The sequence below is a fragment of the Homo sapiens genome, chromosome 12 (genome assembly GCF_000001405.40).
Source record: "Homo sapiens chromosome 12, GRCh38.p14 Primary Assembly".
NCBI lineage: Eukaryota > Metazoa > Chordata > Mammalia > Primates > Hominidae > Homo > Homo sapiens.
In genome coordinates, this window is record NC_000012.12 from 73,016,216 (window position 1) to 73,043,462 (window position 27,247).

Genomic DNA, 27,247 nt, shown 5'->3' on the forward strand with positions numbered 1-27,247 from the left:
TAAGGAAGGAGTCCAGTTTCAGTTTTCTGCATATGGCTAGCCAGTTTTCCCAACGCCATTTATTAAATAGAGAATCCTTTCCCCATTGCTTGGTTTTGTCAGGTTTGTCAAAGACCAGATGGTTGTAGATGTGTGGTTTTATTTCTGTTGTGTTACCAATATATTCTTACACTGTCTGCTTTTTTTATTAGAACCCTTAATATATTCATCACGTTATTTTGATTACTCTGATAATTCCAAAATCTGTGTCATTTTTTGAACCTGGTTTGTATGTTTCCTTAGCTCTTCAGGTGTGCTTTTACTTGCCTTTGATGTAACTTGTAACCTTTGCCTAATATATTAGATAATAGGAACTGAGGTAAATATGTCTTTAGTGTGAGGTTATGTGTTAATCTGGCAAGAATTAGAACTGTGTTTAATATTTTGTAAAGCTGTAGGTGTCAGAGGCTTCAAATCTTAATACTGCTTTCTTTTTCCTTCTCTTTTTTTTTTTTTCTGATGTCTTTGAACTTTCCTAAGTCCTTATGTAGAGTCTTTTTCTTTCAGCTCCTTCATCTATTATCCATTGTTATTATACTAGAGTCCTGCTGGTGCAGGGCTAACATGTGGAGAAGAGTGATTGTTTTATAATCTGACTAAAACTCAGATTTGTAGTGAGCCTATGTCCCTGAAACTTGGCCTTCACAAATGTGAAGCTTTTTTCCCTTTCTTTAGGTGAGACCGGAAGGCTAGAGAAGGATGAAGTCTGAGAATACCCTTCTCTCAGGTGGGATAAGACTGTGGTAAATTATTTTCCTCTGGGGAGTAGGCTTGTGTTATGGGGAATGCTCTGGTCATATTTCACAATGATTATTCTTTCCTTTCCCCTCTTAGATCCCTGAGGGATTTCTCTTGGTTCTTCCTCTTGAGAACCTAGTGGGATTCCTTAAGATAAAAACCATAAAAGTGTGCGGCTTCTCCCCACTGCAAGGTTGTATTCCCCAAAGTTCTCACTCTCATCATAGCCCACAATCAGCCTGCAGCACTTTGTCAATTTTGCCATTTGTGTGTTTCTACAGTTTATGTTTTTATTTGCTTCTGATTCCAGCAAGTAAATATTAGCTGTGACTCTCTGTGTTTGCCTGTATTTCCAGATTTTGGGGTGACAGTTCACCCTGTGACTTCAATTCTATCACGAATTCAAAAAAAAAATATTGCTTTTTAGTCTCTTCAGCTTTTTTTCTTGTAAGGATGGGAATAATTACTTTTAGCTCTTTATGCATTGGAGCTGAAACTGGAAATCAGTATATGTGTTTTTGAGGTATAAGAATAGCACATAACTTTTGCAGTTTTCTCTGCAATGAAGTGGAGTTTTAAGCAGATAGTCTAAATTTGGGAAAGAGTGAAAGGATTGGAAAGAGTTGTATGCGTGGCAAAACAACAACAACAACAAAAAAAAATTACGTGGTCTGAAGCAAGGATCCTTGTATTATTTTACTAGAAATTCCTGGCTACTGACTCTCTCTCAATAGTTCTGTGTCTACATTGAATTTCTATGTAATCTAACTGTGTTACTAAAAAAATTCTCAGTAAATATAAATTCCAGAATTAAATCAACAGTAATTAAGAATTGTATTGTTTTGTTACTTTTCTTGGATTAAACACATAGCTGATATTTCTAAAGCATCTACCTTACAAAGATAAACAGTCTGCAATATGTTTTCCTTAGTCATTTTAATTTCATGACTTTGAGTTGCTAAATCAAGGAATAAAGGCTTATTACTGAAAGTGGTACATCAGTGAACATAAAGGGAATAATAAACTGCTGGTTCTAAACTTGGCCTAGTTTTTCTTTGTCCTAAGCAGTCTCTACTCCAATAACATCAGATACTAGAAAGGAACTCATAAGAATAAAAGGCTTGCACTATCTTCATAGTCCATTTTTTGTTGATGACACTCTTCATTTTCACAGATGCAAAAGCAGATTGGGGATTTCCATGGCAGTGTTATAAAGATATTCAAAATCTGCATGTATAGTTAAAATGCTTTGTGGGTCTCTCCAGGACAACAGTAGAGTGATGTTATGCCTAAATTCAAATCTTCTTTAGCAAAGGGTGTGTGGATGTTAAACTGTTTACTAAAGACATGTGTATGTTAAAAACTGAGTGAAGAAATATATAAACCAAAAGATAATCAAGAAGGCACTTAATGAATTTATGCTAAATTTTAGAGTTTATGTTGGAGATACCAATTTAGTTATATGTGGAATGTGAAGACTAGTGTAGATCAAATCTGGAAAATTTGTCCATATAGAATTTCAGTTTAGATATTAGAAAATAAAAGTGTAACCCCATTTAAAGGAATATTCTAAAGATAAATTAAAATATATTAAACACTCAGATATATAGTGTAAGAATAAATTGACTATATTATTGATTATATTGTCTACTTTGGTACATATGATTTGTTTAGCAGCGATTGGGTAATCAAAATTTTTATTCTCATCCTGCTGGCTCCTATTAGACAGAAAAACCTAAGCATGCTTGATATATAGCATTCTGCTATTTAAAGAGTGAGAAGAAATAATAAGCATAAGTAAGTGGGTTTTTATATTTTCAACAATAGTGAAAATATCTGCAATATAGGAGAGTTATCAATTTATGCCCTACTTTGTTATCTCTTGAATTTAGTTCAGTTGATCTAGGAGCATCAGTCAAAATAAAATAAAATAGTATTTTTTTTTTTTTTTGAGACGGAGTCTCACTTTGTCGCCAGGCTAGAGTGCAGTGGTGCGATCTCAGCTCATTGCAATCTCAGCCTCCCGGGTTCAAACGATTCTCCTCCCTCAGCCCCCTGAGTAGCTGGGACTACAGGTGCGCACCACCACGCCCAGCTAATTTTTGTATTTTTAGTAGATATGGAGTTTCACCACATTGGTCAGGATGGTCTCGATCTCTTGACCTCAAGATCCACCTACCTTGGCCTCTCAAAGTGCTGGGGTTACAGAGGTGAGCCACAGCACCTGGCCTTAAAACAGTAGTTTAAATGGTAAAATAAAAAGAAATGGGTCAAGATTTTAGAGGATACATAATTAAAAGTCTAGAAGCATCAAAAAGGGGCTAAGGTCTGTATGAAGGCTGAGGTGGTAGTTTTTTAAAGTACTGATAGTTTTTTATTCCATGAAAGGATACATGGAATAAAAATAGGAAGCAAAGATATTTTTAACATTTAAATATGTGAAAGAACTCTACAATGAAAGAAAAAAATTTTATGATCCAGTGATGCTCTTGAGAATCTTAAAAAGATTGTATAAGTAGGAAGAAAAGCCTTGTGATATAGTTTGGATGTTTTTGTCCCCTCCAAATCTCATGTTGAAATGTGATCTCCAAGGTTAGAGGTGAGCCTAGTAGGAGGTGTTTGGGTAACAAGGGTGCCTTGGTGCTGTCCTCATGGTAATGAGTGAGTTTTCACTCTCTGAGTTCATGTGAGATCTGGTTGTTTAAAAGAGCCTGTCACCTCCCCACTCTCTTGCTCCTTCTTGCCATGTGATATGCCAGCTTCCCTTTTGCCTTCTGCCATAATTGCAGGCTCCCTGAGGCCTCACCAGGAGAAGATGCAGGTACCATGCTTGTACAGCTTGCAGAACCATAAGCCAAATAAATGTATTTTCTTTAAAAATTACCCAGGTCATGTATTTCTTTATAGCAACACAGACTAATACACTTTTCCTTCCTGTGTTGAGTATTAATCCTAGGTCACTATAAATATTTTTGTTGGAGAAGTATATTTTAAACAAATGTTCACCTATATGTCATATTTTCTAGTACAGTTTTCTAAAATTGCATATTTAAACATAGCTTCAATTGCTGTCTTCCCACCCCCATTTTTACAGTTTTGTTAAAGCCTGATCTTAGCAGGGGGTTAATATACAGTCTACATAGCTGCTAAAAGATAGAGTTGCTCAATAAAAGTAACAACAGCAGCTTACTAAAATAAAAACAAAATATCAAAGGAAACTATTTCGTAAGATGTAAAGCTATATTTTCATTTTGCACAAGAGTGTATTTTCTAATTTTCCGTTGGTGCTGAGGAACATGACTTATTTTTTATCTAATATTCATTTACTGATTGTAATGATAGGTGGGGGTCATGTTGAGAGATGGTGGTACTGAGGGGAGATGAGACACTTTACAAAGAACGATGAGGAATTTTGTGAAACTTGGCAAAATAAAAATTCATGGTTCTACACAAATTGTCACTGCATATTTTATACCTTTATTTTCCTACCATGAATGAATGGAACACTCTGATTAATTTCACATTACTTTACATGTTGTAACATTAAGAGAAGAATCACAGAAAATTTGCCTATTGAAAGCACAAGAATAAAATTTTTATCTTGATTATTTTTTAGAGTCTTAAAAGTGGAAGAAGACAGAGATGATAGGTATTGAAGCCAATGCTGCTGATTGGTTCTAACCTTTTCCCAACCTTCTCACACAATGAAGGGTTCTTTGAGAGACAGACTAGAGAGGATTCTTTATAAAGTGTACAAAATGGACTTGTATAAATAGTTCTTTCAAAGCAACAAAAAGGAAAAGTTACAAATTGATGATACCTAATCTTTCAAGCCCTTTAAAATCCTCAGGAGTTTATTTACTGACAACAAAAAGGCTTGACGTTACATATTTTTGTGGATTCTTGTGTCCTCTAAAAATGAAATAGTACATTTTTATGCAGCTAAAATGATGAATTTAACTTTAAAAGTATTTGAATTTTGATGATTTGTATTGATATATTTTCTATGATATTATTTGTAAGTAAAAGATTTCTTCATACTTGTTTGTTGAACAATGTTCAACAGCAGCCTGGTTATGAATGGTATAAAGTTGTTCATCAGTTATTTTATTTCTAAGGCTGTGATGATGATTTGATATCTGGGCTGGATCCTTTACTCATCTATCTGGTTTAAGATATAGTTTCCAAACTTGCAAAAAACTTGTGTAGACCATATGTATTCCATCAGAGAGTTTAAGCGTTTTTGTTTAGCAGCTTCATCAAGGCTTTTAGCATTTTTATGGGTTTTATGTTAACAAACATTTATTGAGTTTCTGTTTTCTGCAATTATTTTTTTCTAGAACTTAGTGCATTAATAAAGAGAGATATAACCTATTTCTTGCCCACACAGATTTTGGAGTCTTGTTAGCAAAACTAAACCACAGTTTATTACACAGTGAATACTATCTACATTTGTGTCCAGATTAGATTTCTGAATATGGATATTAGCATAAGAATGGTTTATTTATATATGTGCTATTCATATTTTTATTTAGAGTCTCAGAAAATTGTATAAATCTCAAAAAATTAAAAAATTATAATATAAAAACTTATCTTACCTAGATGTACCAAATGTAAGATTTTGCTCCTTTTGTTTATTTTATTCTTCTCTCTCTGTCAACCCATTAGTCCCTTCTGAAGCAGGTATGAATAAATTACAGAAAAACAAAATACGTCATATAAATAGTTCTGAATCTGGCTCCTAAAAACACAAGAATTCTTTTGATAACCACAATAATAATTATAACATCAGGGAAATGTAACATTGATACATTATTTTTATCTATTACATAGTTCAAATTATGTAATATTCAAATATCCCTAATTGTCTGAATGCTTTCCTTTTTAACCATTTTTTAAACCCAAGATCTAATAGCAAGTATGCATTGTTTCATTGGCACCTCTATTTTATCTCTTTCAGTCCAGAACAAATCAGCCTTCTATTTGTCTGTATAACATTGACATTTTTATAGAGACCAAAGCAGTTGTTCTGCTTTATGAATCTCAATTCGGATTTTTATGATTATTTCCTCAAGAAAATAAAACATTTTTTAAAAGAATATTTCTTAGATGATGTTGTTATCTTCTCAGTGTGTCACTTTAGAAATGCTATGCACTATTGAAATGCCATATCAGGTGCGAAGTATACAATGGAGCTGTAAGTTCCTGAGCACTGGAAAACTGGAAAGTAGATATATTGAAGGGACATGTTTAATTCAAACCTCAGTATGATCCACATTACTGAATTATTTGGGTATATGCATATTTGGACATATAAGTGATCACTTAATGGAGATCAACAGTGAAAACAACATTGAAATCGCTAAATAGTTGAAATAAACACAAAGGAAAGTGACAGGCACAATGTCACTTTTATAATCTTTTGATTTGGCCTTTATTTTCTCTAATTAAACACATTGAAATGAGGTGGGCTCCAGGCACCACTGACATCTTAATTCTAATATTTTTATAATTACAAATACAAGAGTAAGTCAAGATAGTGAAATAGTGAACACACATGCTTGCTTCCTCTTCCCGGCCTCAACTTCTGGAAATTATAGAAAACATTTAAGTATTTAAAAGGCTCAAACTCATTAACAACCTGGAAAATAGAAAGAAGTGTGTGGATAGGTGAAAGGTGTTGTTATGTGTCTTTGCTGACCAAAAATTACAAATAATTTTAGAAAATAAAGGCTGATGCTCTAATAATATTTTCCATATTTAAAACAATAACAATCAGCACAACCAAAATCAAACCAAACCAAAACAAAACAAAGTACCAAAATCTCTTTGATCCTACAGTCTTCTCCACTTAGTCCATTTTTCAGAGTATAACTTCTCAGAATAGTTGTCTATAATTGCTGTTTCACTTCATAGTCTACCATTCTGTCTCCTTGCCCTACCCAGTCTTTTATCTACAGAATTTCTCTAAAACTATTTTGCTCAAGGTTTTCAGTGACCATCATCAAGTAATGAACTGTCACTTGGCTGTCTTCATTTTATCCAATTTCTCAGCAACGTTTGACAGAGTATAATTTTTTCTACTTCTTGAAATACATTCTTCTTATGTATATGGGGACACCGTGTTTTACAGTGTTCTTCTTTCTTCACTCACAACTCCTTCTTCTCCATTTTGGCACCTTTTCTTTCTGCTCTGGAATCTACCTAATTTCCTCCATCACACAGCTGTGATTCTGCTCCAAGCCATTATCATGACGACTAAGTACTACGACATCCTCTTATGCCCAGCACATCATTTCACTTTTCAATTAAATTCCTCTGAAGACAACCCATGAAACCCAGAATGAATCCAAGCTCCATCAAGAGCTCACAAGGTGTAGCACGCTCCCACTCAAACACTTGATCACCATGCTTCAGATACAAATGGCCTTCCTTTTTTTTCCTAAAAACTCAAACTTCGTTTCTAAATAAGAGCCTTTTTATGAGCTATCTCTTCTGCCCTAAATGTTCTGCTCAAACCTTTTAAAAACCATCTACTCTTTCTTATTCAAGTCTTACCCTATTACTTTGTTGGAAAAGTCTGCACTGACTACTTAATCTAAAGTATGTTTCAAGCTCTGTTCTAAATATGTTGTATATAACATTGCATGTAATAGTCTCAATAGCCCTTTGAAATAGTTAACATTCTTGTTTCTAATTTATATGTAGGGAAACTGAGAATCAGAGGACTGAAATCAGTTCCTCAATATGGTCAGGTTACCACATGGAAATTGGGGCTCTCTTTGAGGCAGATTTCTAAACACTAGCTACTAACTACTCTTAAACTGCCAGTCGTAATTGCTGTCATGCCACCTTGTCTTATTTTCATTGATATCTGCTTGTTTCTTTATTTGTTTCTACTGCTTGTTATGTATTGAGCATAATTTTCGTGACAAATTTCTAGTTTTTTTCAATGTCCTATCTTATCACCTAAAATAATGTCTAGAAAAAAAAAAAAATCCTAAGAAAGGGATTTATAATGGATTAGCAAATTCCATTAGTAGGAGGAAATCCCAATATAAAACATATAAAAGATGACATATAAATTTGGAGAGTTTCAAGTGTGCTGACTGAAAAACAAGGAGTAGTTCTTGGAAAATCTCTGGGCCTATGGTTAAGGAAAGGTGTATAATTGGAGTGCTCACCCCGGCTCGCTCCTCCTTACCTCTCACCTACTTTTTTGGCACAAACATAGTCTAGCTAATACATTACAATGCCTCTCATTACAATGACTGTGAGTATTTGGTCTGGCCACCTATGCAATCTGGTTAAACCAGTTTAATCTGAAATAGAAAAATGACTTTTAAAAATTATAACTTTGAATATAGTATTCCGTATAGGTTGAATGTCTCCTCCAAAACTCATTTTCAGACATAATTCCCAATATGGTACTATGGATAGGTGGGATCTTTAACAGGTGACTGGATCACGAGGGCTCTGCACTCATGAATGAACTAATCCATTAATGGATTAATGGTTTAAAGGGTTAATGGATAGATGGGTTATCATAGGAGAGGAACTGGTGACTTTATAAGAAGAGAGAGACCTGAGCATAGCATATTAGCACACTCAACCCCATTGCCATGTGATACCCAGTGCCCCAGATACTTCAGAATACCCAAAAGAATGAAGGCTGTCACCAGATATGCCCCTTCAGGTTTGGTCTTCTTAGCCTCTGTAGCTGTAAGAAATATTTTTTTTCTTTATAAATTACCCAGTTTTAGGTATTTTTATAAGCATCAGAAAAGGGATTAAGACACATTCTTCAGTTGACCCTTAAACAATATGGGTTTGAATTGCATGGGTCCACTTATGCGTGTATGTTTTGTAATGAAAATTACATCAAATGTGCCTTCCTGTCCTGCTTCTCCTTCCATATCCTCTGCATGGGAATTCAGCATCCCTAACCTCTGCATTCCTTAACGGTCAACTATATATCTTAAATGTGTTTTCATATGCAATTTTATTTAATACTGATAATAACTATAGGAAATAAACGATATTATCCTTGTTTTAAAGATATGAAAATGGAGAATTCCAGAAATTAAATTACTTGATAAGCTTGTTGGTAAATGGTACATCTGGGACTTAGACTTGCCGTCAAATCCTGTGCTTTCAATTCTTAATTACAATGCAGCGGCCCCTCTCGTGACTAATTTCTTATTTACTGTTTTCATCTTGGATGTCTCTTTATGATTCCTTGTTGATAGTTCATAGTCAGCTTTTTATTTGATTTTCTATTTCATTAATAAATTTTGGCTAACTCTTCAGCCACAATGTCTTGTGAAATGAAATTGATCGTATAATGAAATAAATGTAATTGACTTACATTAATGTAGCATTATTTTAGAGAGTAAATTTGTAAGAATATTGAATAATATTGAATAATATAAGAATATTGAATATACAAAAACATTGGATGATATGAGAAAATAAGAAAATACAGATCAGGTCTTTGTTTTTAAAAAGTTACATGATGTAATACTAGGCAATACATTGTCTCAAATTATGCATATTTGGGGAATAAAATAATGAATATTAATTTTCAACATTCCATTTCAACATTCATTTTATTTCCCCAATATGCATATTGCGGAATATTTGCAGAGTAGGTATAAGATTATATCTTTTCATAAAACAGCTATAATTAACAGAATTTTATTCAACGCTAAGGAATTAGACAGACTTTTAAAGTAGAGCTATACATATTACAATTTTGTAGTACAAAAAAATTGGTGATTTTTATTTCCCAGTTTAAATTACAGATTCCCTTTTCTTGAACCACAGATATTGTAGCAGTAAGTGGAATCTACATATTTTTCTATGTGTTATACCTAATGTGAATGTGTCTGTACTACACAGCACTCAGTACCATGTTACAAGCAACATGGTGATAATAGGTGTAGAGGGAAAGTATGGACTTTTAGTTCAGACACACATGAGTTAATTTGAGAACTACTTCTGTCTTTCAAGCTCTCTGACTCTGAGCTAGCATCTTAACCTTGCTGAGCCTGTTTCCGTTTGTAAAATGGGGATCGTAATACCATTGCAAATGATTCCTGTGAGAAATAAATGGTAAAAGTAACATGCACTGTGCTTAGAACAGTAATTGTTCTACAAAAGAAAATCAAGTTAGTCCTCTTTTTCCACCATGAGCAGCATATTGCCATAAACTAGTATGAATTTGCGTGTCAGGAAAGCACTTAATTTATGGGTTAAAACGGGTATTTTCATTTATCTACCTACTTCTTTATCTCTTTCTCACTGTATCATCTATATATTTTTGTAGGAATTAATGTTTCCTTTGTATTAAATTTTAATTGAAATGCTACTATGTAAACCAATACAAATGCTCCTATTGTCAAGTGGGTTTCCTAGAAACAGATTTGGATCTCAGTGTGGGGTGCAGTCTGAAAATCACTGGGCTAAATAAGCTTTTTGGGTCATGTGTCCACCCCAGTGCAACAAAGTTTTACAAGCTAGTTTCTTAGATTTCATCTGCTTGTAGGCACAGCTGACATCACATTTGCAATAATGACTCAAATTGTATTGGCTCAGGTATCCAACTTTTTAATGAACAATTATGGCAACCTTTCCAAATGAATCTTCAGGTATAAATTACATTTGATAATCATGTGAATAATCTATTTTTAAAAGAAGAAACCAATTCAGTTTTATTTCAAATAATATACTAACATTTCCTAGCTACTTTATACATTTCATCTGTTTAAGCAGAAGCATTTAGGACTTCAAGGGGAGAGGAAGATAATGTCTAGAAAAAGATGTCACTGCTTTGGCAAAACCTGAGTTTTTAAGGCTCATGAAGTGAATATAAAAATGTGGAAACACTCAGGTTATGTTTAGTGCCTCATTTCTGTAGTTGTGTCCTCGGGAGACTACAAACCTTCCAGAGAAATGTTGTATTTGTCATGGCTCTGTGTCTCCTATGGCATGGAAGCAATATGGGATCAACTTCTGTGGGTGCGTCTACGTAGGTGCCTCTGGGCAAACTCACACAGTGTCTTAAACTCCTTATCATGGTGTAGTGAAGACAGTCCAAACCCCTGTGTTGTCTTGATGTTTAGGAAGTATAAGAAGTCTAGTTAGGCTGTACACGGTGGCTCACGCCTGTAATCCTAGCACTTTGGGAGGCCAAGGCAGGCGGATCACCTGAGGTTAGGAGTTCAAGACCAGCCTGGCCAACATGGCAAAATTCCGTCTCTACTAAAAATACAAAAAAATTACCTGGGGGTGGTGGTGGGCACCTGTAATCCCAGCTACTCAGGAGGCTGAGGTAGGAGAATCACTAGAACCCTGGGGGAGGTTGCAGTGAGCCATGATCATGCCATTGCATCCAGCCTGGGTGACAGAGTGAGACTCTATCTCAAAAAAAACCAAAAAACAAAAAAAAGAAGTCCAATCAATAAGAAATTTTGACTTTATGCTAGCAGGTCATAGAGTGAGGGTAGCTCCAACTACGCAGAATGGAAAGATCCATGGTTATGAAAACAAGTGGCAGCATATATACAGAACATCAGGTGAACCAAGTTATATACCAGACAATAAAGTACAGAGAGTCAGTGCAGTTCATGGGCCAAGGGAAAGAAAGTTCCTTGCCAGGAGGCCATCGATGAATTCCATATCTCTCCCCTGATTTTGAAATTCACAAAATCCTAAAGGGAAAGATGTTAGCAAGGGGTGAATGTACATGGTTGAAAAGTCTTGCAATACTGTTTTCCTTCACAGTTCCTGAACTTTGGAGGGGAGAGGGACTTGAATTGTTCTGGAAAACCCTTTGACTGTACTGAGTATCTTTGAATAGGATAGAGTAACTTATATGGTGAAAGCAACCAAAGAGCCAAGTTGTGTTTTATTTTAGGAAGTAGAAATAGTTACATTTATTACAAATATCTCAGACAAAGTATAAGTTTTGGTCACATTGTACTCATGAAGACACTTTCTCAGCCTATTGCTTTGCTCATACTGTGGTCTTCCACTAGACATTGCCACCACACAGCAGGAAATCAGTCTCCTACCAGTCACCAATATAGAGCCAAAAGTCACTGCAGTCACTCACTGATATGGTTTGGGTCTGTGTCCCACCCAAATCTCATGTTGAATTGTATCCCTAATTTTGGGGGAGGGATGTGGTGGGAGGTGATTGGATCATGGGGCCGGATATCCTCCTTGCTGTTCTCATGATAATAGGTGAGTTCTCACAAGATATGCTTGTTTAAAAGTGTGTAGCACTTCCCTCTTCACCCTCTTCCTCCTGCTCCTGTCATGTAAGATATGTTGGCTTCCCCTTCACCTTCTGCCATGATTGTAAGTTTTCTGAGGCCTCCTCTGCCATGCCTCCTGTAGAGTCTGCAGAGCTATGAGTCAATTAAACCTCTTTCCTTTATAAGTTACCCAACCTCAGGTAGTTCTTTATAGTAGTGTGAGAATGAACTAATACATTCATTAAGTGAGAATCAACACTAGTATAAAGCTGTTGATCTTTGGTACTGTGGGGAGAGGAAGAATACCTATCCCTCCTTTAGTTTACTTTCAGAAAAAGGGATCTTATAGCAACGTTGTGTTGTTACTGTGCAAAATTTACAGAATGTATTGAAATATTGTGGCTCACACCTGTAATCCCAGCACTTTGGGAGGCCGAAGCAGGTGGATCACCTGATATCAGGAGTTCAAGACCAGGCTGGCCAACATGGCAAAACCCTGTCTCTACTAAAAACACAAAAATTAGCTGGGCTTGAGGGCAGGCACCTGTGATCCCAGCTACTCGGGAGGCTGAGGCAGGAGAATCACTTGAACTTGGGAGGCAGAGGTTGCAGTGAGCCAAGATAGTGGCATTGCACTCCAGCCTGGGCAACAAGAGTGAAACTCTGTCTCAAAAAAAAAAATTGTTCTTTTAAATTTTCTTAACCACAGCCCTCTCATTCTCTCCCCAGGACGAGGAATGAATCCATGCATACACAAGGCTAACCTTAAGATGGCTTTAAGTGATGGCCACCACATTCAAAATTATTATTGGTATTTAATAAGTAAAATTTTCTTGTTGAATATACTTTAGCATTCCTGCCTCTGTCTCCCAGCATGAGTTTCCCCTAGGAGGTCCTTTAGACTTCTAAACCATCTTACAATTTGCTACACTTGGAATCTAGTTTCATTTAAATAAGGACCACAGGTACATCTCCATTGCTGTTGGTGTTTGGAGTTATGTGATGAAAAAGTTATAATGTATGGAGAAAAGTCCTAGATGTGTAATAAGAAAACCCACATATTTCCCATGGTCTTCCATATATGAACAGTATGACATTTGATAAGTCATCTATCTCTCTGAGCTTCAGTGTTTTCATATAAAATGAAGCAATTGTAATGCTCTGTATTCCTTACAGGTTTGATGAGAATAACATGATAAAAATTATATGAACACACTTTGCAAAGTGATATACACGTGAATTTTTTTCTTTTTAATTACTGACCTTAGTTCACAGCATTCCTCATATGTGGTCGCAGTTATCTACCAATGCAAGTAGTTGTTCTTCCAAAGGATTGAAGGAATCTACCACATTTGATTGGGTCCAAAAAAATGTGTATACCTTTAGTGTATAGTTGTCTATAATTGCTGTTTCACTTCCTAGTCTACCATTCACTTTCATAACACAGGTGATGTTTTAATTCTACTTTCTAAATTTTGATATTTCCACTTGTACATATTTCCATAGTTAACTAGGAAAAAAGAAAATATCTTTGTTGTAGCTTAAAACAGGTAATTATTCTAAATATGTTTTCACAGCAATTTGAACATTCATGAGCAATAAGACTGCTGAAATCCAGCTATGCATTATGATAGCTTTTTAGAAGTAATATTACTAGGCAGTATTGTAGTGACTCTTAGTTCTGCTTGGAATACTACATTTGCATGGGGCTTTTCTATTGAAATGGAAGGTGTGCACATTACAATTTTTCCTACATTAAAGAACAGAACATTCTGCCTCGTTTTCATCTCCTTCAAATACCGTCTATGTACTGAGACCCCACTGACTTAAAAAATATAATAATCCATAGGGTACTACATCACATGAACTCCATCAAAATAGGCCTAAATTTGAAAGACATTGCTCAAATTTTTCTCTGTTACTGTGTCTCTCCTGTCATGTTTATTAGTACAGAAAGGATTTTCACATAAATCATGAAATTTTCAACCCTTTCCACAAAAAGGGCAATCTCCCATATTATATCTGTAATCTTGTCAGTCTTATCAACTTCACAGTGGGTTATCTAATTGCTAAACAGGATCAATCTACACCTACCACATGTTGACAACATAGTTGTAAATACACAGGCTCATTTTGCTTACATTCAAAATGTCAAAGTTGTCACTAACAGAGGTGTGGTTGATTGCAGAAAGGGCCACAGTCATTTCTTCCTATATATGCCTTTTTGCTGACTTTGTTGCTTCTCTCACCAAGAGATGGAGTCTCTTTCCCCTCTTCCTATATCTGGACTGGTCTTGGGACTTGGTTTGGCCAATAAAATGCAGCAGATGTTACATGCCATTTCCAAGCCTAGCCCTCAAGAGCCTTGAACATTTCTGTTCACTATCTTGGAACACTACCCAATGCAATGTGAATAAGCTGCGTTGGCATGCTAGAGAGTAAGAGGCTATGTGAAGTAGAGCTGTATTGCCTTAGCCTAGACCTTGCTAGACCAGCCAATTCCAAGTTGACCCATGAGCTGACTGCAGATGCATGAGTGAGCCAAACTAAGATTAGTAGAGCTGTCAAATTAACCTGCCGATTCATGAGCCATATAAATAGTTATTACAAGCCACTGAAATTTGAGGTGTTGTATTATATAGCAATAGACAACTAATATAGAAGGACTCATACTTTATCTATGAAAATATATTTTGATTGTTCAGACACCATGACTGAAATTTAATTTTCTACAATAAATGTATTAAGAAAACTGTTATTAACCTTAATAAAGGTATTAAAACCAAATATCAAGGTATTTGACAAATTCAAGTATGAAGAAATAATAAAAATGGTAATTTACATATTCATTTGAAACTAGTCAAAATCAAAACAGCAATTGAACTAATTTATTTCTGTTTATGAAATAATCATAAGAACATAAGAGGAAGAAGAACACTATGAAAAAGTTAACTAAAAAAATACCTAAAAAGTTGACTTTTTAAAGAAAGCTTACTGTTCTCTGCACAGTAAACTGTTAGGAAACAAGGATACTTTGTACAGGACTTTTCTACCTATACTGTAAAATGTCCACTTGGAACTTTGAGCTTCTTTATTCTGATTAGAATATAAAGTGTCACATCTTACTTCTAACACATGAAACTGCTTTCCACAGTCTAATGTTTATGACATCTTGGTAGGTGACTCAGATGTCCAATGGAAAATTACCCATGATCTATTTAATAAGCATTTCCTCCCACAGTTTGCTGAACACAAAGCTTTGGTTCACAAACCTAGGAGTTTATAAAAGGGCCTGTGAATGAGAATAATTATTAGAGAAAATTGTCTCATTCTCCATGGAATCTGCACTTACCCCTGTCACTCATCCTCATGTGACCATATGTGCACAGATGATGATGTGGTTGATTATAATAGTGTTAGTTGATTGTGATAATAATGTGATACATTCTTACAAGAGAAAGAATGAAAATGGCTGCAAGTGTACACTAATGTAGCCACAGCCATCATGGTTCTCAAATCATGGTGATTTGAGGGAAACAAAAGTTACTAACAATATCTTACATTGTTTTGGAACTTTCTTAACATAGTTCATATCCTGTATAAAGCTAGCTATCTGATAAGCTGATGAAGAGCAATTACATTTACTTACATTCTCATGTGTAAGACCAGAAATTCACTTAAAAAAACCATTATTACCTGAGAGCTACTCCTTAAGAACTTGCACATAATGGCTCATTTGCAATAGCTTCAGGAGAAGGGGGGGTTTCTTGAAACATCTTTTTCCATGGATTATTATGGCTCATTGTGGTCTTTTATTTTTTGTCAGTTGATGGATATCATGAAAGATTGAATTAAGGGACTGACAGAAAAGAACTTCTAAAAATAGCTTTCACCCCTAAAAAGACATCCTGATGTGAAAACAAGATAGGGAGTTTCCAGAATAAAAGGTTCTCAATTTGAGCTATATCTTGATGAAGCAAAATCAACTAACAATACCTAATATGAAGCTGCATCAAAGACTAATGACAATCTCAATACATTCTCATTTAAATTGGGAAAAAATATGACAGGTTCTTAACAGAGAGTGATTTTTTTCCTCCCAGGACATACTTGGAAATATCTGGAGACATTTTTGACTGTCATAGGTTGGGGGTGTTACTGGAATCTACTGGGTAAAAGCCTTAAAATGCACTAAGCACCTTAAAATGCACAGAACAGCTCCCCTACAATAAGGTTTAGTCTAAAATATCAATAGTACTAATAATGAGAAATCTCAACTCAGAGTGTACATTCTTGTTCAGTGCAAATTCTATGCCTTGATTTTAGCATTTGATAAGCTTTCACGTTTTAAAGAGAGAATATTGTGAAGATTTTCTCCCACAGTGTGGGTTGTCTGTTAACTCTGTTAATTATTTCTTTTGTTGTGTAGAAGCTTTTTAGTTTAATTAAGTTTCATGTATTTATCTTTGTTTTTGCTGCATTTGCTTTTGGGTTCTTGGTCATGAAGTCTTTGCCTAAGCCAATGTCTGTAAAGGTTTTTCCAAAGATATCATTTAGAATTTTTATCACTTCATGTCTTAGAGATAGGTCTTTGATATATCTTGAGTTGATTTTTGTATAAGGTTAGGGATGGGGATCCAGTTTCATTCTTCTACAGGTGGCTTGCCATTAGCCTAGCACTATTTGTTGAATAGGGTGTCTTTTTTCCCTACTTTATGTTTTTGTTCACTTTGTTAAAGATCAGTTGGCTTTAAGTATTTGGCTTTATTTTGGAGTTCTGTTCCATTGGTCTATGTGCCTATTTTTATACCAGTACCATGCTGTTTTGATAACTATGGCCTTATAGTATAGTTTGATGTTGGGTAATGTGAAGTCTCCAGTTTTTTTTTTTCTTAGTTCTGCTTTGGCTATGTGAGTTCTTTTTTTGGTTCCATATGAATTTTAGGATTGTTTTTTCTAGTTCTGTGAAGAATGATGCTGGTATTTTGATGGGAATTGCATTGATTTATAGATCACTTTTGGCAATTTGGTCATTTTCATAATACTTATTCTACCCATCTATGAGCATGGGATCTGTTTCCATTTGTCTGTGTTGTCTATGATTTCATTCAGCAGTGTTTTGTAGTTTTCTTTGTAGATGTCTCACTTCCTTGGTTAAGTGTGTTCCTAAGTTTAATTTTTTTATTTTTTTTTTCAGCTTTGTAAAAGGGATTGAATTCTTGATTTGTTTCTCAGTTTGGTCATTGTTGGTGTGTGGCAGAACTATTGATTTCTGTACATTAATTTTGTATCCTGAAACTTTGCTGAATTCAAATATCAGTTCTAGGAGCTTTTTGATTGAGTAATTAGGGTTTTCTAGGCATATGATCATATCATCAGTAACCAGTGACAGTTTGACATCCTCTTTACCAATTTGCATCCCCTTGATTTCTTTCTTTTGTTTAATTGCTCTGGCTAGGACTTCCAGTACCATGTTGAATCAAAGTGGTGAAAGTGGGCATCCTTGCCTTGTTTCAGTTCTCAGGGAAATGCTTTCAACTTTTCCCCATTCAGTATAATGTTGGCTATGGTTTTAAACAACTCAAACAAATCAGCAAGAAAAAAGCAAACAATTCCATCAAAAAGTGGGCTAAGAACATGAATAGAAAATTCTCAAAAGCAGATACACAAATGCCCAACAAATATATGAGAAAATGCTCAACATCACTAATTATCAAGGAAATGCAAATAAAACTACAATGTGATACCACCTCACTCTTGCAAGAATGACCATAATAAAAAAAAAATCAGAAAATAATAGATGTTGGTGAGGATGTGGTGAAAGGGAACCCTTTTATACTGTTGGTGGGAATGTTAGCTAGTACAATCACTATGGAAAACTGTGGAGATTCCTTAAAGAACTAAAAATAGATCTACCATTTGATGAAGAAATCCCACTACTAGGAAATCCCACTACCCAAAGGAAAAAATTCATTATTCAAAAAAGTATATATATATATATATATATATATTCAAAAAAGTATATATACACATGCATATATACCTATATAAATACATATGTATATATCTACATATACATATATACTTATATACGTGTGTGTGTGTGTGTGTGTGTGTGTGTATACATACCCCATGGAATACTACTCAGCCATAAAAAGAAATTAAATAAAAACATTCACAGCAACTTGGATGAGATTGGAGATTGTTATTCTAAGTGAAGTAACTCAGGAATGGAAACCAAATATCATATGTTCTCATTCATAATTGGGAGCTAAGGTATGAGGATGTAAAGGCATAAGAATGATACAATGGACTTTGGGGACTCAGGGGAAAGAGTGGGAGAGGGTGAGGGATAAAAGACCATAATTTGGGTATAGTGTACACTGCTTGGTTGATGGGTGCACCAGAATCTCAGAAATAACTACTAAATAACTTATTCTTGTAACAAAATACTACTGGTTCCCCAAAAACCTATTGAAATAAAACACAAATTTAAATAAATAAAATTATAAAAATATAAATTAAAAAATATAAAATAGAGGTAGTATTATCGTATTAGTCCATTTACATGCCGCTGATAAAGATATAAGCAAGACTGGGAAGAAAAAGAGGTTTAATGGACTTACACATGGCTAGGTACACCTCACAATCATGACAGAAGGCAAGGAGGAACAAGTCACACGTTACATGGATGGCAGCAGGCAAAAAGAGAAAGCTTGTGCAGGGAAACTCCTATTTTTAAAACCATTCGATCTCCTGAGACTTATTCACTATCATGAGAACTGCACGGGAAAGCCCCACCCCCATGATTCAATTACCTCCCACCAGGTTCCTCCCATGACACATGGGAATTGTGGGAGTTACAACTCAAGATGAGATTTCGGTGGGGACACAGCCAAAGCGTATCAATTATATAGTGTTTAAGAATAAGTAGGCTCAGGAATCAACTTTCTGTTATCAAATTGTTTCTACTAATTGTAAAATATATGACTGTGGACAACTTTTTTTTTTGTCTTATCTCTTAGTTTTCTAATCGTCAACATCTGCATAATATTAATGACCACCTCATAGAAGTTATTAAGATAACAAAATAATTTTAAGTTAAATGTATAAATGTACCAGCACATATAGGCACTTGTTAAATAATAGTTGTTATTATTGTATCAGAATAATAAAAGTTGGTGAAAAGTATAGATAATTCTCTAGTGAATGTATTATATTTGAACTTGCTTCTGTATGAAGGTTCATCATGAAAATAATAACTTACCATTATAACAAACAACTGTCCATTTATTTTAAATATCCAATGGTAAATACCACTTGAGTTCATTTTTTTCTAAATAGACTTTCCTTTTTAGAGCAGTTTTAGGTTCATAGCAAAAACCGAGCAGAAGATACAGAGATTAAGCATATATTCTGCTCCCACAATACATGACCTCCCCCAGTATCAACATCCTCCACTAGAGTGGTACATTTGTTACAATTCATGAACCTACATTGTTACATCATTATCACCCAAAGTCCATAGTTTACACGAGGATATACTCTTGGTTTCATACATTCTCTGGGTTTGGATAAATGTATAACGACATGTATCCATCATTATATTATCATACAGAATAGTTTCACTTCCCTAAAAATACTCTGTGCTTCATCTGTTAATTTTTTCCTCCCCTCCACTAATTCCTGGCAACCACTAACATTTTTACTGTCTCCATAGTTTTGCCTCTTGCAGAATGCCATATTGTTAGAATCATATAGTATATTGCCTTTCTTTCACTTAGTAACGTGTTTATATTGCCTCCATTTTTATGGCTTGATAGGTCATTTCTGTTTAGTGTTGAATAATATGCTATTATCTGGATATACTAGTTTATCCATTCAGCTATCAATGGACATCTTAGTTGCTTCAAATTTTTGGCAAGTAAGAATAAAGCTGCTATAAGCATCCATGTGAAGGATTTTTTGTGTGGACCTAAGTTTTCAACATCTTTGGGTAAACACCAAGGGGCCCCATTGCTGGGTTATATGGTAAGAGTAAGCACTGCTGTAATTGCATTTCATAAATGTTGATGAATTGTGTTTTTATTTTCATTTAGTTTAAAATATATTTTTAAAATTGTTTTTAAGAGTTCTTTGACTCATATTTTTTAAAAACGTGTTTGATATCTCCAATTATGTTTAATATTTTCCAGATATTCTGTTATTAATTTCTAATTTAACTCTATTGCTGTCTGAGAGCAGATATTGTATGATTTCTATTCTTTGAAGTTTGTTAAGGTACGTATGTTTTATTGCCCATAATGTAGTCTATCTTGTGAATGTTCCGTGCGAGCTTGAAAAGAATGTGTATTCTGCTTTTGTTGGATGAAGTAGTTTATATACTTTGTTGGATGGAGTAGTTTATATACATCCATTATATCCAGTTATTGATGTGTTGTTGAGTTCGATTTTGTCCTTACCAATTTTCTGTCTACTAGATTTGTTCATTTCTGACAGAGGGATAATGAAGTCTCTAACTGTAATAGTGGCTTTATCACTTTCTTCTTGCAATTCTTCCAGTTTTTGCCTCACATATTTTGACATTCTATTAGTAGGTACATGCAGGTTGAGAATTGTTATGTCTTTTTGGAGGTTTAACCCTTTTATCATCATGTAATATCCCTCTGCATTCTTAATAATTTTTGTTGATCTGATGTCTAACTCTGAAAATAAATACCTATTCCCACTTTCTTTTGATTAGTGTTTACATGGTATAGCTTTCTTCATTTATTTACTTTTTTTCTACATATGTCTTTATATTTAAATAGCTTTCTTGTAGACTACATAGAGTTGGGTCTTGCTTTTAGATAGAATCTGACAATGTTTGTCTTTTAATTTGTATATAGACCATTGATATTTACAGTGATTATTGATATAGTTGGATTAGTATCTACCATATTTGTTTTGGTTTTCTATTTATTGCCCTTGTCTTCATTCCCATTTTTTTCTTTCACACTTTTTTGCTTTTTGTGGATTTAATTGGGGATTTTATGAGATTCTACTCTCTCTCCTTTCTTAGTATGTTCATTGTATTTATATATTTTATGTATTACATGTATATGTGTGTGTGTGTATGTAATATTTATTATGCAGAACATGAGAGGTCACTCCAATTTGGGGGTAGTGGTTTGCCCTGTAACCTCAGTTATCTTGCAGATATAAAAACAGTTGTTAATTTTTCAGTTTGTTCAGCTTTTTACTTATTCTTAGGATGAACTGTCAACTTCATGCTGAACCAGAACTGGAAATTCAAGTTCGGTTTTTAAAATAGTGAAAGTAAAATAGCAAATGAAGAGTGGTATAATCACACCCCCACATAAACCCACACACACATACACATGTGCACACATATGCACACACACACAAAGCTGTTAAACGTATCCTGTTTGGAGCTAAGAGTATAATAATGAAATATGCAATAACGAGTATGTTGGCTTGCTTCAACAAAAATATATTGAGTATCTTCTACTTATAATGCTGGATGCTTTATGGAATAAAGGGAGAATTACTCAGAAACTATCCTCTTGCCATTGCTTGGAAGAGCTCTTGCAAAGGCAGGCTAACTCTCAGCAACTGCGTTTGTGGAACAGAGAGAAATCTGAGCAATCCCAGGGTTGGGAACCTTGATAAGCTGAATGGATGGCCTCTGTAGAAAAATAGGCACCAGAACTGACAGTTGCTTTAATAAAACATGTGCCATATGTGGTATTGGCTTTGAATTCTGGCAGTGGGTGACAAACAATTACAAGGGTCTGGAAGATATGGTGATCCACACATGACAAAGAATTTGATAAAACTATTTCCTATAAAAATGTAGAAGACCTGTGATGTAGCTAGTAAACTTGTAACTTTAAGTGAAATAGTTGTGAAACAAGTTTTACTATCTAGATTGTCTTGGTAGCAATTCACTGCATTTCAAAGAATCTCAATAAATACCTGTTGAATGAATGAATAGATGTCTACCATTACTCTCTAGTTCAAATTTCTAATCTTCTTAATTCGAATTTTTATAGCAACCTCCTATCTAGTCTTCTTAATATTAACTTTAGTTGCACTGCACAATTCCTTTTTGAATCTCTGGAAAAATAATCTACCATAAAAGGCAATTATTGCCTTGCATCTAACACTTTTGGATATATTATATATCATCATTTTTTCAGTTGAATAATTAGGCCTCTGATTACCTTTTCCACTTTCTACTGTTTTCCCATCTATAATTCACCCTTCAGATAGTTCAAACTATTTGCATTTTTACAACTCCTCATCTATAAATGAGAGCTTTTCATCTTTTAAAATTTGATTTGCAAATAACACAAGGTGAAAGGTGTGGATTGTTGTTATGTTAGGTCAACTCCCCAAGTTCCCTTTATTCACCAACCTACATGGCTTAGGAAAATTCTACTGAGAATGTTTCCTGATGGAAATACACATATTGAGTCCCAGACACCACTGGAATTTCCTTGCTGATCTACAGCCACCAGATAAGCTCTCAAAAGTTAACCAGTCTCAGTTTAAACACTAGCTCTCCTCAGTTTTGCCTGAAACATAGTAGCAGCTTAATAAATACTTATAGACTTAAAAATGATGACTTAATTTCTGAATATGAAGATCAAAAGAGGAAACTATTACATCAGTCAGATGTCACAGAAAAAGTATTATTTGAAATGGCTCAAACCTTAATGTACATATGCCATACCTAAGATCTTATTAACATGAATATTTTGATTCAATCGATCTGGAGTGGGCATGAGATAAGTTTCCAATCAGCCTTCAGGTGATGCCAAAGCCCTTAGTCCATGGACCACATTTGGCTTAACAAAGCCTTAACAACTGAATTTCCCAATATAAGAACAGTATTAACCAAGCCACAGGAATAGAAGGTTATTGGTTACTTTTAGCCAATTACAGTAAATTATTTCAATTGGTTACAATTGGTTACAACTGGTTACGGTAAATTATTTCAATTTAGTGGCAACAGGATTTCTAGAGGAGAAATTTATGTTGCAATGTTGTAAAGGTAGATTAAGACCATTTCTGTGGTTTAGATATGGTTTGCCCTCAACAAAACTCGTGTTAAAATTTGATCCCCATTGTGGCAGTATTGGGGGGTGAGGCCTAGTATGACATGTTTAGGTCACAGGTCTGGATCTCTTATGAATAGATTAAAGCCCTTCCTCAGGCGTGAGTGGGTTCCCACTCTTGTGGAAACGGATTTGTTGCTGTAAGAGCAAGAGAGTTGTTAAAAAGAGTCTGGCTTCTTTGGTTTCTCTTTCTTACTACCTCTTTCACCACGTGATCTTTTTGCACACACCACCCCAGACTTCTACATTTGCCAAGAATGGAAGCAGCATGAAGCCCTCATCAGTTGCAGCTGCCCAATCTTTGACTTTCCAGCCACCAGAATCATGAATCAAATAAACCTCTTTTATTTATAAATTACCCAGTCTTAGATATTCTGTTATAGCAACACAAAATAGACCAAGAGAGCTATATTATAGAAGATCTTGAAAGTGACAGTGAGAAATGCATACCTAGTAGAACTCACAGTAACTTTTAAGTTTTGTTTTTTCTTAAACAATGCGTTTGGAGCTATCATGTGTGCACGTGTGTGTGCATGTGTGTGTGTGTGAGAGAGAGAGAGAGAGATAGAGAGGAACAGAGAGAAGAGAGAGGGAGAGAGAGAGAGAAGAGAGAATTCATTTTGGTTTTCTGAACTGTGAAAAAAATTCAAGTGAAAAGCATTTTAGCAAAATATCAAGAGATAGTCAGACATAACCGTGCCTGAGGTATGAGTTGCTGAAATTCATTATTGATGTTTAGTATCACAAGAGTATCTTCAAGTCACTGCAATGCCATATGTGAAGCCAATGCAATACTTCTCCTCACACCTATCTCTCACAAACTTGAATTCAATTAATTACCAGTTTGGCTTAAGTTTGGTTTAGAAAAATATTTTATGCTGTTTTTGTACCTGTTTGGTTGAGACATATTTCGATTTTTATTCTTTCTTAACCTAGTTGGCTGAATTATGAAAGAAACCCCAAACATATTAAAAAAAGCCCAGCACAAAACCTAATTCAGTTAGTGCCTCAATAAACAGTTTTATATTTGCTTTGGTTAGGGTTAAAGAGCTCAACAAATATAACTTTTGGATTTGCTTTTTGGTTAGACACTTGAATGAAAATGCTGGTTGGAACATCCAGAATGTTTTTAAAAGTATCCAAGTACACAATGCTAAAGTCTAAAATCTCTAGACTGAGACTAGTTAACTTTGGGAGTTTATCTAGTGGCTATAGTTCAGCGGGGGGAAATCTCAGTGGTGTCTGTGACTCAATATTATGCCCATCAAGAGACATTCTTAGTAGAATTTGCCTAAGCCATGTAGGTTGGTGAATGAAGGGTTGGCATCATGTAACAAAAATCTACTCCCTCCACACTGTGTGGTTTAGTTGCAAAATAAATCAAATCATTTTTTAATTTTTATTTTATTTTATTTTTTATTATACTTTAAGTTTTAGGGTACGTGTGCACAATGTGCAGGTTAGTTACATATGTATGCATGTGCCATGTTGGTGTGCTGCACCCATTAACTCGTCATTTAACATTAGGTATATCTCCTAATGTTATCCCTCCCCCCTTCCCCCACCCCACAACAGGCCCTGGTGTGTGATGTTCCCCTTCCTGTGTCCACGTGTTCTCATTGTTCAATTCCCACCTATGAGTGAGAACATGCGGTGTTTGGTTTTTTGTCCTTGCGATAGTTTCAGCTGAAGCTAAACTCATCTATTTAATGATTCTCTGAAAATTTCTTCAATGGGAAAACAGAATGTGGAAATCACCTTAGCAAGGTTGTTTGCTATGTTACAGGAAGAAAAAGATTAACAATCTTCATTTTATTGGTTTTATCTGATTCTGAAAGCAGAATCAGGATGTATATAATTGACAAATGCATCAAAACTAGGATGGAATTGGCACAGATAGATTACGCTCCTTTACTTAGTTTCTATACTATAAGCATATCGAACATACAATGTCATCTTAAAGATTTTTGAATACTGCATGCAATCAGCGTAACATGATGTTCATAAAATACCCACTTATTAGATGTTGTGAAATTGCATGAAAACAAATTACCTATCAAATATGCTTTTCTTGGTATTAAGCCCCAAATAATTTTTCCTAACACTTTCTAGGTTCCTAGAAAAAGTCAGTGTGGGAGGGGAAAGAGTGCAGATTTTAGAAGACAGCCTAACTCAGTTCAAAGTCCAGTTTTTCATTCATTTTGTGTATGATCTTGAAAAAATTATTTAAATTCTCTGCACCCTGATTTATTTATCTTTAAAAGAGAAATAATAAAAACATTTTGCAAAGGTTGGCATGGGGGTGGGAAATAAAGTGCATATGGTACCTATCACAGTTTCTGATGCCTAACAGTTTTCAGTAGATATTAACCGTTATTGGGATATAGTCTTCACCCCTTTAGCTTTCACTATGATGAAGTCATCAATTCATCCCGGTAGGACATTACTTAAAAAAATAAAAAGTCATTCCAACCTCCCCTTTCTTCTTGGTTTATTCAAAGACACATGGAACTGACTTTGGGTGGGAAGGTTAAATGCTAAAAAGGGCAATAAGCATTTAAGCATTTGAATCAGGGAGTGTTGTGAAAACTCAGTAGATAAAATAAATCTTGAAGATGATGAATAAAACTGTTTCCTTCTTGCTGGAGATGGGTAAAATATAGCACCTCATGTTTTAAATGCTTTTCTATGGGTAAAACAAAACCAGAAGCAGTAAATATACTACTTAAATTCTACTTCCAAGGTCAGAATAATGATTTTTTTTTAAAGTTTCTGCCACTGAGAAATTTATTTCGGGGGAAAAAATAAGAGTATGGTTCAGAGACCCTTATAAACCTTTCTAAAGATACCAGGATCATCATCTCCCACATATCCTAAATTTTAAGAACATAAAGAAAAATCTCTCCTAAGTAAATGCTTGATGCCTCTTCTAGCTAAGCTACTAGTTTTAGATAAAATTTAAAGTAGAATAGTCATATCTAACATTGCTATAGGATTTCCCCCCATAATCAATAAGCACATGACATTTATGTTTATTTTACATTATCAGAGCATTTTTTATTATTTAAATAATTACAGATTTGTATTTTTTATGTTTTTGCCTTTATGCCATTTTATTTCAGGCTAAGATTTATTCAAGGCTGAATTTTTGGTCAGGAACGCAACAAGCAATTATAACACTACTATTTTATAACTTGTTTTCTAGGAACACATTGTGACAAGAAACATGAAATGGGATTTCCTGAAACACAACAACATAAAGGCAAGCAAACAAATGAAAAGTTTATAAGAAACAAATGCTATGCAGCTTCTATAGAAAATGACAATTTCATATGCAAGGTTATTAAGAGATACACATGCAAATTTGGGCTAGTTTTTGATGCTGTGCCTTTATTTATACTTAGAATTTGATATAATTTTTGGTTCAATTTGTTACAATACTGTCATTAAACCTGAATACTAATTTCTCCACATAAGCAAACTCTAAACATTCAATATTAACATCATGCAACTGAAGTACCTTTATTTTAAATTGTTGACCATACTCTTTCTGATATATAAGTTAGAAGTAAAAAATAAACAAATCAAAACAAAACCAAAAAGGAAACCTGGAAATCTTTAACTTGACAATTGTTGAAACACATGAGAATTTGGAAATATATAACAAAAATAAAGTTCGATTTATTTTTTGTCTGCTAGAGTAATTTCACATTGAACAGAATCAAGATACATTTAGAAAACATCACTCTACTTAACAATCATTTAACTGAAAAAATGCCTGATTTACAGACTGTAATGATGAAATTAACTTGGAAAACATTTCGGTCATGTGAACCTGAAGAGAAGTAGTAGTCATTTTTTTTAGTTTTTTTATTAAGTTAACATGACTTAAAAATCATTGATTTATAAATTTTGCATACTAGAGTGAAAGATAATTTATAATCTAGTCAAATACCAAATATTATGTTGTTCTATATTAAATTACAAAGTAATTATTTAGCTTTTCTAAAACATTTTCGGTGGAAGGTTTACTGCCTCCATTTTTAAACCGATTTTTTGAATGTTTGTCCTAGTATTGAATTGACA

The 27,247-nt window shown here is 34.5% G+C and overlaps 1 long non-coding RNA gene across 2 annotated transcripts in view; it reads left to right on the top strand.

Annotated features, from left to right (window-relative positions):
* Positions 1 to 26,688, top strand: part of LOC105369838 (uncharacterized) — a 122,994-nt gene extending 96,306 nt beyond the window's left edge. For both annotated transcript variants that reach the window (XR_945088.2, XR_945089.2), the window contains one exon: positions 26,367 to 26,688. This is a non-coding gene — a long non-coding RNA (uncharacterized LOC105369838). The remainder of the gene's footprint in view (positions 1 to 26,366) is intronic.
* Positions 26,689 to 27,247: the final 559 nt, after the last annotated feature.